A 12,683-nucleotide genomic window follows, 5' to 3' on the forward strand; every position below is an offset into this window, starting at 1 on the left:
CTGGGATAGGTGGGCCTCTGCCGTCGGCTACCGCGGCTCCCGCCCGCACCTGCCCTGCTCCCAGCATGGGCTGCGGTAGACCCCGCCCCCCGCGGCAGACCACGCCCACCTGCCCCCCCCCACCCCCCCACCCGGGTCGGGCCAGGCCCCGCCCCATCAGCCCCAGTCCCGCCCACTCCATGGCCCTGTCCGCCGCCGCAGCGCGCGCCCTTCCCCTCCTCACCGCTACCTGCTCCGGTTCCGGCGCTCGGCCGCTCCGTTGCCCTCGGGCGCCTTGGTTGCGGCCCTCCGCTGAGGAGCCATCGGACCAGGCCGCCGCGGAGCCGGGCCGGACGCGGGCGCCAGGCCCGGGGACGAACGCCGTAACAGGGAGCGCGAGGCAGGCACGGCGCAGGGACGCGAGTGCGACGCGCTCGGCCATCGGCCCCTGGGCTGGCGGCCAGGCCCGAGCAATCGGCGGCCGAGCGGGGCGGGGCTCAGAGCGGAGGCGGCGGCCGCGAGGGCGGGGCGGCCGGGCCTGGCTGCGCCCCCGGACCTCGCGGGACCGCGGCGGCGCAGGTGAGGTGCGGGTGCGGCTCTGGCTCTGCGCGCTAGGCCGGGCGGCTCCTGGCTGGAAGCGTTTCCCCCGCGCCAGTACCTGAAGAGGGACGGCCGGGCTCCCGAGCGACGCCTCCCAGCGTGGCTGTCCCGCAGCGGCGATGCGGGGCTGCTGAGAGAGGCTCGCACAGAGCCTGTGGGTGTAAATTGTGTGTAACTGGTCGTATGTACAAACTGAAAGTGCTGTGTTACAGAGCCCTTAGGGTCAGCAGCCTCCGAACCCCTGCACGGAACCAGGGGCTGGATTACTGAACTGAGTCTGTCTCACATGCAAAGCTTTCCTTTCCTTTTCTCACCCAATCCTTTGTGCTTTCATAGTAGATAGGAAAAATAAATAAAAAATACATAAATTTTACCCTTCCCCAGCTGCTTCGTTATCCCTTGGATGCCGCCTTTATTCAGTATAATACTACGGTCAGCTCTGATGCACTTGGGGGCTTTTTCAAAATTATCAGCTTACCTTAAATCCTAGACAGTTTTCTCCAACCTGGAGTCAGTTTTGCAGTTTCTTCCTCTTTATAATCAAGCTGATCTGAGCTCTAGAAATACAAATTAGTTTTAATATTACCTAAAATTTGGATAAATTTCCTACAGAAGCATCATATTGTGCGGCCTGATAAGAAAATGTTTAGAGGCTTCTGCCCGACTGTTTTCACTAGCATAGTACATCTAGTTTAACAAGGTCTTTAAAACAAGGTTGTTTGGCAGTTATTTGTGTTATTATAGATCATAACCATCTTATAAACAAACTAGTGCTGTTTTGTTTTAGCAACAAATCACACATAGCAGAGGTCTCTATATCTTAACATGGAGGTAGACTTCCAGTTCATTTTCATGTTAGCAAAATGAGTTTCCTCCAAGTTAATCTATCAAAACTGGCCAGTATCAGAACTGAAACTGAAAGTATAAGGAGAAAGGCAAAGGGAGAAGCTTCTGCCCCTGTTGATAACTCTTGATTTTCTCCACTAGGAAGAAGTCCCCAAGGAGACTTCGCCATAGGAGTTCACAGGAAATATTGAAATGTCAGGTTCCACTCCATTTCAGATGAGATTAGTTCATTTAGACCTTAAAGGAGCTCCACCAAAGGTCTCGTACCTCTCAGAGGTAAGGACTCCCTTTTACCTCTAGAGCATTACTTTTTGCCTTGGCTTCATTCTTTAAAGTTTTGAGCAGTGTTCTGTGGAAACGGGTACCTAGAACACAACCACAAGGTTCTCGGTGGAGCAAGATGGTGGCAGCAGCATTGATTTTGAATTTCCTCCATAGCCTCTCACAAAAACAGAACAACCAGGATGACAAAAGGGAAAAAAAAAAAAGACAGAGAACAAAAGAAACTCACAGCTTCTTTCTTTTGGGTTGAAGTGTATCTTTCCAAAAAGATATGTTCAAGTCTTAACCCCTGGGACCTGTGAATGAGACCTTATTTGGAAATAGGATCTTTGCAGATGTAATCAAAATAAGATGAAGTTGTACTAGAATATGGTGAACCCTAATCCAGTGATTGGCATCCTTATGAGGAGAGGGAAATTTAGAGCCTGAGACACACGGAGGGAAGGCAGTGTGAAGACCCAGGAGGATGCCCCGCGGTGCCAGCAGCCAAGATGGTCATGACGTGCCACGAACCCCAGGATGCCGAGGACAGCTGACGATCACCAGAAGCTAGAGAGAAGCAAGGAAGGGTCCTCCTCTTCAGCCTTCAGGGAGAGCTGGGTCTGCTGACACCTGGATTTTGGACTTAGGGCCTCCAGAACTGTGAGAGAATAAATTTCTGTTGTGTCAAGCCGCCCAGTTGTTTGTTTGTTTTTTGAGACGGAGTCTCGCTCTGTCATCCAGGCTGGAGTACAATGGCGCAGTCTCGGCTTACTGCAACCTCCACCTCCCGGGTTCAAGCAATTCTCCTGCCTCAGCCTCTGGAGTAGCTGGGATTACAGGTGCCTGCCACCATGCCTGGCTAATTTTTGTATTTTTAGTAGAGACGGGGTTTCACCACATTGGCCAGGCTGGTCTTGAACTGCTGACCTCGTGATCCACCCGCCTCAGCCTCCCAAAGTGCTAGGATTACAGGTGTGAGCCACCGCACCCGGCCAAGCCACCCAGTTTATGGTCATTTATTACAGCAGCCCTAGAAAACTAAGACACTCTTCAACAAAATTAGGTATCAGGGTGTCCCCATGGATCCCAAACTACAAGTGGGTGGGACCAAACCACAGACAGAATAACACCTGTATGGGGTTAGTGGCCAAGCAGGAGGTAACAGAGGAAAGAGGGAAACTCCAACAGTGCTATGACCAGAGGACCCAGAAAATAGCCTCAAAAGTAAGTAAAGGTCTCCCATAGCGAGAAGTGGGGCAGAGTTTTAATGGCTCCCGTCTGAGATTGAGTGCAAAGAGACTTAAAGGAGGGTGCAGGGGAGGCCGAGGCTGCAAGGCTGTCAGAAATACGTAATGAAACATCCAGGAGGGTGCAGGGGAGGCCCAAGGCTGCAAAACTCTCAGAAATACGTAACAAAACTTCCTTCCAGAGGAACAGCGCCCCCCACTAAGGACAAAACAGGGAAAGCATCCACATTGAACTGGGCAGGAACAGCGAAGGGAAAGGTCCTGGGGAAAGGCGTCCAGAAGAGGTGGAGGTCAAAAAACACTGCAGAAGCAGCTACACAGAGCCTGCAGTTTCTAATACCGCGTGGCAGCAGTAGAGGAGGGGGCCTTGAGGCTGGCCTGTCACCATTGCAAACACAAGAGCCTGTTCTTAAAAATGAGCAACAGGCTGGCCATGGTGGCTCACGTCTGTAATCCAGGCACTTTGGGAGGCCAAGACGGACAGATCACCTGAGGTCAGGAGCTTGTGACCAGCCTGGGCAACATGGAGAAACCCCGTCTCTACTAAGAATACAAAAATTAGCAAGGCATGGTGACACATGCCTGTAGTCCCAGCTACTTGGGAGTCTGAAGCAGGAGAATTGCTTGAACTCAGGAGGCAGAGGTTGCAGTGAGCCAAGATTGCGCCACTGCACTCCAGCCAAGGTGACAGAGCAAGACACCATCTCAAAAAAAGAAAAAAAGAAGCAAAAAAGAGTGTTGTTTAACATCATACAAAGATAGGTAAGAAAAAAGAAGGCCAGGCACGGTGGCTCACGCCTGTAATCCCAGCACTTTGGGAGGCCGAGGAAGGTGGATCACAAGGTCAGGAGATGAAGACCATCCTGGCCAACACAGTGTCTCTACTAAAAATACCAAAAATTAGCCCCGTGTGGTGGCGGCGCCTGTAATCCTGCTACTCGAGAGGCTGAGGCAGGAGAATCACTTGAACCTGGGAGGTGGAGGTTGCAGTAAGCCGAGATTGTGCCACTGCGCTCCAGCCTGGGTGACAAGAGTGAGACTCTGTCTCAAAAAAAAAAAAAAAGAAAAAAGAAGATGATCTGAATAGCATTGCAGCAGTGAAGGTGCTCCAGACACACAGGCCCACCCAGCAGGAAACACTGTTCCATAATATTTCATAACAAGATAAAAGATACTCAGAAGATGACGGAAGCTGTGAAAGAACAGCATAAATCAGAAATAGAAAAGCCCAGGCCAGGCTCAGCGGCTCACAACTGTAATCCCACCTACTTGGGAGGCTGAGGCATGAGAATCACCTGAACCTGGGTGGTGGAGGTTGCAGTGAGCCAAGATCGTGCCACTGCACTCCAGCCTGGGCGATAGAGCAAGACTCAGTCTAAAAAAAAAAAAGCCCAGAAATGTGGTAATCAGACAAAAGGAGGTTGTAAAAAATTGCCTGTGGAGCTCAGAAATGAATTATAAGGAAAAAACAATGTTTTTAATGAAGACTAAACTATAAGAAGTGTACAAGTGAGTAGACACCATGGAAAGTGCAGTATTTGGAAACAGATGACAGAAAAGAAAAAAGCAAACAGAGATGAAAAGGCGTTCTGACAAATTGAATATGGCAAAGAAGACTGAACTTACATACAGCTGATGAAGAGGCATTTTGACTTGGGCCAGGCGCGGTGGCTCATGCCTATAATCCCAGCACTTTGGGAGGCTGAGGAGGGTGGATCACCTGAGGTCAGGAGTTCGAGACCAGCCTGACCAACATGGTGAAACCCTGTCTCTATTAAAAATACAAAAATTAGCCAGGCGTGGTGTCAGGTGCCTGTAATCTCAGCTACTCGGGAGACTGAGGCAGGAGAATTGCTTGAACCCGGGAGGCGGAGGTTGTGGTGAGCTGAGATCGTGCCACTGCACTCCATCCTGGGGGACAAGAGCAAAACTCCATCTCAAAAAAAAAAAGAAAGGAAAGGCGTTCTGACAATTGAATATAGGCAAAGAAGATCCAACTTACACACAGCTGGAGTCCCTGTTTCCATCATCTGTTGCTGCGTGACAGATCTCCCCAAACTTGAGGTCCCCATTCATCACCCCTTGTGTTTCTGTGGGTTGGCTGCGTGATTCTGCTTTTCTGACCGAGGTGCCCTCAGGTGGTCACAGCCCCGTAACATCTAGAAACCTCTGATGGTCCGCGTGGCCTTCCATGTCCGGCAGTTCATCCCAACTGTCAGCTGGGGCTCCTTAGTTCTCCTGCATGTGTGTCATCCAGGAGGCCTAGCATGTGCCTGTAGTCCCAGCTCCTTGGAAGGCTGAGGCTGGAGGATCACTTGAGCCCAGGAGTTGGGTGCTGCAGCGAGCCATGATCATGCCAGCACGCTCCAGCCTGGGCAACAGAGTGAGACCCCATCTGTTAAAAAAAAGAGAGAGGCCGGGCACAGTGGCTCACACCTGTAATCCCAGCATTTTGGAAGGCCGAGGGGCAGATTACCTGAGGTCAGGAGTTCGAGACCAGCCTGGCCAACATGGTGAAACCCCGTCTCTACTAAAAATACAAAAATTAGCTGGGCATCGGGGCGGGCGCCTGTAATCCCAGCTACTCGGGAGGCTGGGGCAGGAGAATCGCTTGAACCCGGGAGGCAGAGGTTGCAACGAGCCAAGATCACGCCACTCCACTCCAGCCTGGGCGAGAGAGCGAGACTCCATCTCAAAAAAAAAAAAAAAAGAGAGAAAGACAAGGAAGTGGGGAGGAGAATAAGGGGGAAGGGACCCCATGAGTACAGACCAGGAACGAATGAGTTCTGCACCCCTCTCTCACCTCCCCCAGGTGCTGACCCCAACCCTTCAGAGCCCTGCTCCCCCTGCCCCGGCTCCTCCTGCCCCGTCCCCCATGCCTTGCCATTCTCCTTCAGCCTGGCTGCCCTGTCCCCCATGCCTTGCTGGTGCCCCTCAGCCTGGCTGCCTTGCTGGGCCGCCGTGCATGAAGAGCTGCTTCTTGGTGGCTCCCTGCTGGCCGGACCCGTCCCTCCCAAGCTGAGCCACCAGCGCGTTGAGTAGCAGCCCTGTTTCATAGCATATCTCCCCTTCTGTGCAAAATAGTCACTGGAACGGGGAGTTTCATTTGGCATAACGTAAAGTACACATTCCGGATTTAAGGTTCCCAGGAGAAATAGAAGTAGCAACTCCCACAGTCTCCACAGGCTGAAAGGGAAGGCGTCTCCCTGCTGTGGACTTGCCACATCGTGCTCCAGCAGCCACTTCTTCCTAACCCCTCCCTGTTTACCCCCCAGATTTTTCCTCTGTTCCGTGCGCTAGGTGCAAACGGCCTCCTCATTGAGTATGAAGACATGTTTCCCTACGAGGGCCCTCTGAGGCTGCTGAGGGCCAAGTACGCCTACAGGTAACACTGCCCGTGGCAGGTACAGGGGCGCGGCGTGAAAGCGGGGAAGGGGGGGTTCCGCAGGGCAGGAGGAGCAGCAACCTGGAGGTGCGGGTGGCACAGTCAGGAACTGAACAGTGGTGGGTACATTCCTTTTTTGTCTTTTTAAATTCATCTCTTTAATTGTATGAAAACAAAGTTTCATTTCAAACATTCACTGGAGAGAATTTTGAAACATTTAAAGGGAAAGTAAGCATCAGCAGCGCCCCCTACAGGGAAGAGCTGCAGTTCCTGTCTCTGTCCTGCAGGCGTTTCTTCTGTTGATGGGAGAAGGCTGGACTACAGAAGGTTAGAGAAGGTTAGAGAAGGTTAGAGAAGGCCAGAGAAGGAAGGCCAGAGAAGGCTGGGCTAGAGAAGGCTAGAGAAAGCTGGAGAAGGCTAGAGAAGGCTGGAGAAGGCTGGAGAAGGCTGGACTACAGAAGGTTAGAGAAGGCCAGAGAAGGCTGGGCTAGAGAAGGCCGGAGAAGGCTGGAGGAGGCTAGAGAAGGCTGGAGGAGGCTGGAGGAGGCCAGAGAAGGCTGGAGAAGGCTGGAGAAGGCTGGAGGAGGCTGGGCTAGAGAAGGCCGGAGGAGGCTGGAGGAGGCCAGAGAAGGCTGGAGAAGGCTGGAGGAGGCTAGAGAAGGCTGGAGGAGGCTGGAGGAGGCCGGAGAAGGCTGGAGGAGGCTGGAGGAGGCTGGGCTAGAGAAGGCCGGAGGAGGCTAGAGAAGGCTGGAGAAGGCTGGAGAAGGCTGGGCTAGAGGTTAGAGAAGGCTAGATAAGGTTAGAGAAGGCCAGAGAAGGCTGGGCTAGAGAAGGCTGGAGGAGGCCAGGGAAGGTCAGAGGAGGCTGGAGAAGGCTGGAGGAGGCTGTAGAAGGCTGAGCTAGAGAAGGCTGGAGGATGCTGGAGGAGGCCTCCGCGCAGGGAGGGGCTGCTCTTCAGGCCACAGTTGAGCCTTGAGTTAGAGAAGAGAAGAATTAAAGGGGAGAGAATCAAAATCAATAAAATCAGGTGTGGTGGAGATGGGAGGCCCCTGCTTAATGCTAAAATCACAGGTCTCTGTGAAAATCAATAACGGCCCCAAAGATAAATGCACAATGGACATTAACTGGCCAATCCCAAAGGAAGAAACAAAAAAGGCCAATAAGCATATAAGAAAATGTGAAGGCCAGGAGCAGTGGCTCACGCCTGTAATCCCAGCAATTTGGGAGGCCAAGGTGGGCAGATCACTGGAGCTCAGGAGTTTGAGACCAGCCTGGGTAACATGGTAAAACCCCATCTCTATGTGAAATACAAAAATTAGGCCGGGTGCAGTGGCTCACGCCTATAATCCCAGCACTTTGGGAGGCCGAGGTGGGTGGATCACTTGAGCTCAGGAGTTCGAGACCAGCCTGGGCAACATGGTGAAACCCCATCTCTACATAAAATGCAAAAAATAGCCATGGATAGTGGCATGGGGCTGTAGTCCAAGCTACTCAGGAGGCTGAGATAGGAGGATGGCTTGAGCCTGGTGTTAGGTTTTTTTAAAGGGAAGGCGAGGGTTAAAGAAAGACAGAGAGAGAGAGGGCGTCTCTACAGCAACAGAGGTATAGTGCAGAAACCTACAGAGGGGGGACCAGCTTAATGCCAGAGCCCACCGCCGCTTACAGGCTGGGGTACTTACAGGCCTGGACGGGAGGGGTTTGGGCAGTAGGGCTTCTGCCTGGGAAGATGTTGAGAGATGTTCCCATGATGAGGCAGTTGGGTCCTTGTTCCCAGCAGAATATGATCAGGATGTTCCTTCAGCTGGGCCTTTGCCCAGCAAGGTATGTTCGGGATGTTCCTGGGCCGTGTGGTCGGGTGGTCGGGATGTTCCTGGGCCGTGTGGTCAGGATGTTGGGCAGGATGTTCCTCACAGCCCAAACCCCGTGGAATGTTTCACTTCAACCTGGGTCTGGAAAACAGCAGGGGGCTTACAAAATGGTGCAGTTTGGATTAACACCCAGGACCCAGAGGCTGCAGTGAGCTGAGATGGCGCCACTGCACTCCAACCTGGGCAACAGAGCCAGAGCCTGTCTCAAAAGAAAAGGAAAGAAAGAAAGAAAATGTTAAACCCTCATAGTACTCAAATCAAAGAAACTAAATCAATAATGCAACACCATCCTGGCTACCAAACTGGTAAGCCTTTTTTAAAAATTATAAGACTTGGGCTGGGCGCTGTGGCTCACGCCTGTAATCCCAGCACTTTGGGAGGCTGAGGCAGGCGGATCATGAAGTCAGGAGTTTGAGACCAGCCTGACCAACATGGCAAAATCCTGTCTCTACCAAAAAAAATACAAAAATTAGCTGGGCGTGGCCAGGCGCGGTGGCTTAACGCCTGTAATCCCAGCACTTTGGGAGGCCGAGGCAGGCGGATCACAAGATCAGGAGATCGAGACCATCCTGGCTAACACAGGTGAAACCCCGTCTCTACTAAAAATATAAAAAATTAGCCAGGCATAGTGGTGGGCGCCTGTAGTCCCAGCTACTCGGGAGGCTGAGGCAGGAGAATGGCGGGAACCCAGGAGGCAGAGCTTGCAGTGAGCTGAGATTGCGCCACTGCGCTCCAGCCTGGGCGACAGAGCTAGACTCCGTCTCAAAAAAAAAAAAAAAAAATTAGCTGGGTGTGGTGGTGCGCACCTGTAATCCCAGCTACTCAGGAGGCTGAGGAAGGAGAATTGCATGAACTCAGGAGGCAGAAGTTGCAGTGAGCCGAGATCGCGCCACTGCACTCCAGCCTGGGTGACAGAGCAAGACTCTGTCTCAAAATAATAATAAATAAAATAAATGAAAAATTGTAAAGACTGTGTTGATGAGAATGAGAAAGAGGAAAACTACCTGCTGATGAACATAATATGACATCTGTTCTGGAAGGACTTCGGTTCCATGTGTCAAAACTCCAAAATGCCTGCACCCCATGCAGCCCACATGTGGTTAGACCAGAAGTGATGAACGGTGAGCCAGGGTGTTGGCCTGCAATGAGATAATCAGGTGCGATGAGATGATCAGGTGCGATGAGATGATCAAGTGCGATGACATGATCAGGGGTTTGCATTTTCTTCATACTCTTCTAGTTTTCTTCCTACAGTGAAGACATTTTGTCTTTTGATGTGAAAAAGTAAAGTACCAGGGTTCCTTCGAAGCTTGAAACAGGAATGTTTAAAGACTTTATGTAACTCATAAATCTATAGAACGGATTAGCCTAAGATGGTTCAAACACATACAAAAACTAGAAATAGCTTTTTTTTAGATAAATTCATAAATGACAGCTCATGTAAAGCTTGTGAAAAACGAAGAGGTCGACCCGGGGCAGTCAGCCCTTCCCAGGATGTGGCCCTTCTGCAGAGGACGGGCGCCCCAGGATTGTTTCAGGTTGAGGACCCTGTGGTGGACCTGCCCTCGGGCAGCTGCTGACCCGGCTCTGGATGGAGTGTGGCACCTTCTGTAGCATTTTTATTTTTTTTTGAGACAGAGTCTTGTTCTGTCTCCCAGGCTGGAGTGCAGTGGTGCGATCTTGGCTCACCGCGAACTCTGCCTCCCGGGTTCAAGTGATTCTCCTGCCTCAGCCTCCCGAGTAGCTGGGATTACAGGTACATACCACCAGGCCTGGCTAATTTTTGTATTTTTAGTAGATACGGGGTTTCATCATGTTGGCCAGGCTGGTCTCGAACTCCTGACCTCAAGTGGTCTGCTGGCCTTGGACTCCCAAAGTGCTGAGATTACAGGCGTGAGCCACTGTGCCTGGCCTTGAGTAGTTTCTTGTAAAATGTGATGACTTCATTCTCTTGTCGTGGGTTGAAAAGCGAACCATTACTTGAGGACGTGCTAGAACATCATCTTCCCAAATTTTGGAGCAGGTACCTTTCCAGAAATCAGGATACCTGTCAAGCTTTGTGGAGTTTAGGGCCTTACTGTTTCCCGGAGAGCCCCCCAGGGCCTGATGAGGAAGGGCTGGGGGGGTGGGTGTGGAAGTCACGTGCTGCTCACATGACCCTCTCTCTATGAATTTTGTCTCTCCAGCCCCTCTGAAATCAAAGAGATCTTGCATCTGGCTGGACTCAATGAGCTGGAGGTGATTCCCTTGGTGCAGACATTTGGACACATGGAGGTGAGTGGCAGAAATGGAAGTTACCTGGTGCCAGGTGTGGGGTCCAGGGGCTGCAGGCTGGGCCAGGCTTGTGCCCAGGGGTGGGTGCAGCGGGCCCATGGTTGGGGTGCAGGCAGCGCAGCTCAGCACAACATGGAAAGGCCTTTGGTCTAGGAAGTCCCTGCCTGACTCGGCCAGAGCTGCAGGTTGGGGCTGCCTGTCTGCCTGAGGAATGGAAGGAAAGAGCCAGAAAAGGGGTCCTGGAGGCAGTTTCCTTTTTCACTTGTATTCATCAGAATATTATTATGTGAGGTAAAACACAGTATTAGGGAAAGAAAAGGTGCTTTTCAGGCCAGGTGCGGTGGCTCACACCAGTAGTAATCCCAGCACTTTGGGAGGCCGAGGCTGGTGGATCACCTGAGGTCAGGAGTTCGAGACCAGCCTGACCAACATGGCGAAACCCCGTCTCTACTAAAAATACAAAAATTAGCCAGGCATGGTGGCGGGCACCTGTAGTCCCAGCTGCTCGGGAGGCTGGGGCAGGAGAATCACTTGAACGCAGGAGGCAGAGGTTGCCATGAGCCAAGATCGCACCACTGCACTCCAGCCTGGGTGACAGAGCAAGACTCCGTCTCAAAAAATATATATATACACATATTCTTTTTCCTGTCTGCATCAAACAGGAAGTGATGCGGCATTAACCACCACACCGATTTAATGGCTCTTAGGTTCCATTTATTTCTCTAACAGATACACCATTCTGGCTTCTATTTCCACACACCGCGGGTAAGAAGGTTGTTTTCACTTACACATGTCGGTGTTCTGGGCGTGCCACCGGAGTTCCTTCCCACAGCTCGGTCCTCCAGCCTTTCTAGTTGATTCTCTCCATCGTACTCTGCTCTGGGACCCGGCCTGCGCTCTTAGCCTCCTGCCACGTATCCACAGAATGTCTCTGCCAAGGCCGCCAGGGTCCTCCAGGTCACTAAGTCCAGGGACGGTTTTAGTCCTTTCCTGCTGGGCCCCTCGGTAGCTTCTGGCATCCCCAGCCGCTCTCCTGAGCCCCACACTTTCTGGCTTCCCTCTGCCTCTGACTGCACCTCCTCGATATCCATTTGCATTTGTCTCTCTGTAGCTGGCGGTCCCCAGGGCTCCTCTCGGTCCCTGTCCCCACCTCCCACTCTCTCTCTAGATGGTGCCATTTCTGCTCCTGCTTTCTCTTTGTCCTCCTCTTCGTCTTCCTCTTCCTCTTCTGTCTGCACCTCAGCAACTCCAGACCTCCTGGGTTACAGACCCTCATCCCCAGCTGCCTGCTGGTCGCTTCCATTGAGGGCCCTCCTCCAGCCTCTGGTGTGCAAACCAGAAGCAGACCAGCCACAGTCAGCACCACCACCCGCCACGCCCTGACCCATGTTGGTCCTGCTGCTGCTCCTCCTCCTCTTCCTCTGTCATGCAGGCACCACCCCTGTCTAAACCACTATGGACTCACCATGAAACTTTCCTAATGGGTCTCCCGGGGCCACTCTGCCCCTCCGTGCCCCTCTCCCCACCACAGCAAGTCACAGCACAGCCCTGACCACTCACACTCGCCATCTCCTCAAAGGACACTGCTGTCAGGGCAGAAGTGATCGCCACAAACCAGGTGGCTTAAGACAACAGAAATGTTCTCTCAGCCCTGGAGACCAGACATCCAAAATCAGCGTGTCGAAGGGTTGGTTTCTTACTGAGGAAGACCCTCCATGTGTACATTTACTATTAGTATACCCTTTTTGTGTGTTTGTTTTTGAGACAGGGTCTCACTCTGTTTCCCAGGCTGGAGTGTAGTGGTGCAGTCTTGGCTCACTACAACCTCTGCTTCCGAGTTCAAGTGATTCTCCTGCCTCAGCCTCCTGAGCACCTGAGATTACAGGTGTACCCCACCATGCCCGGCTAACTTTTTATCTTTTTATTAGAGATGAGGTTTCAAGATGTTGGCCAAGCTAGTCTCAAACTCCTGGCCTCAGGCGATCCGCCTGCGTCGGCCTCTCAAAGTACTGGGATTACAGGCGTGAGCCACGGTGCCCAGCCCAGTATACCCTCTTGGTATACTAGAAATAACTGCTCAGGTGTTTTGCCCATTTTTTTTTTCAACTTGAGTTTTTAAAGTTCTTTATATGTTCTAGATGCAAGTCCTCTGATGGTATGTAATTTGCAGGTATTCTCCCCCAGTGTAGAGCTACATGCTTCTGGTGTCATTTCTAAAAA

At 52.1% G+C, this 12,683-nt stretch overlaps 2 protein-coding genes and 2 long non-coding RNA genes across 20 annotated transcripts in view, besides 2 other annotated features; 2 read left to right on the plus strand and 2 right to left on the minus strand.

The window, feature by feature from the left end:
* Positions 1-404, minus strand: part of OGFOD3 (2-oxoglutarate and iron dependent oxygenase domain containing 3) — a 29,377-nt gene extending 28,973 nt beyond the window's left edge. For all 5 annotated transcript variants that reach the window (NR_033265.2, XR_007065458.1, XM_047436759.1 and 2 more), the window contains exon 1: positions 230-404. Coding sequence is in view for 3 of the 5 variants with exons in the window: in XM_047436759.1 (XP_047292715.1) it covers positions 230-303 (74 nt within the window). In the remaining 2 variants the exon portion in view is untranslated. The remainder of the gene's footprint in view (positions 1-229) is intronic.
* Positions 1-580: a silencer, noted in NCBI's record as "silent region_9211". NCBI's record gives its function as "represses an Ori minimal core promoter by ATAC-STARR-seq in GM12878 lymphoblastoid cells {active_cell/tissue: GM12878}" and the evidence as "EXISTENCE:reporter gene assay evidence [ECO:0000049][PMID:35858748]".
* Positions 165-12,683, plus strand: part of HEXD (hexosaminidase D) — a 24,299-nt gene continuing 11,780 nt past the window's right edge. For 7 of the 13 annotated variants that reach the window (XR_007065292.1, XR_007065293.1, XM_047435788.1 and 4 more), the window contains exons 1-4: positions 165-558; positions 1,567-1,701; positions 6,212-6,321; positions 10,376-10,463. Coding sequence is in view for 11 of the 13 variants with exons in the window: in XM_047435788.1 (XP_047291744.1) it covers positions 1,618-1,701; positions 6,212-6,321; positions 10,376-10,463 (282 nt within the window). In the remaining 2 variants the exon portion in view is untranslated. Of the gene's footprint in view, positions 559-1,566; positions 1,702-6,211; positions 6,322-9,847; positions 9,946-10,070; positions 10,213-10,375; positions 10,464-12,683 lie in introns of those variants that run through there. The other 6 variants (NM_001369487.1, NM_001369488.1, XM_006722280.3 and 3 more) reach the window with 6 other exon arrangements.
* Positions 5,801-6,636: an enhancer, noted in NCBI's record as "H3K4me1 hESC enhancer chr17:80381859-80382694 (GRCh37/hg19 assembly coordinates)". NCBI's record gives its function as "activates a minimal SCP1, AML or CMV promoter by ChIP-STARR-seq in primed H9 embryonic stem cells {active_cell/tissue: H9 hESC(primed)}" and the evidence as "EXISTENCE:reporter gene assay evidence [ECO:0000049][PMID:30033119]".
* HEXD-IT1 (HEXD intronic transcript 1) lies at positions 7,143-8,422 on the plus strand. The gene has a single exon (NR_170223.1). It is a non-coding gene; the product is annotated as an HEXD intronic transcript 1 (long non-coding RNA).
* LOC124904091 (uncharacterized) lies at positions 7,730-12,230 on the minus strand. Its single transcript, XR_007065958.1, has 3 exons — positions 11,252-12,230; positions 9,194-9,328; positions 7,730-8,270 (listed from the first exon to the last, which is right to left on the minus strand). It is a non-coding gene; the product is annotated as an uncharacterized LOC124904091 (long non-coding RNA).

Source organism: Homo sapiens, chromosome 17 (assembly GCF_000001405.40).
Source record: "Homo sapiens chromosome 17, GRCh38.p14 Primary Assembly".
NCBI classification, from domain to species: domain Eukaryota; kingdom Metazoa; phylum Chordata; class Mammalia; order Primates; family Hominidae; genus Homo; species Homo sapiens.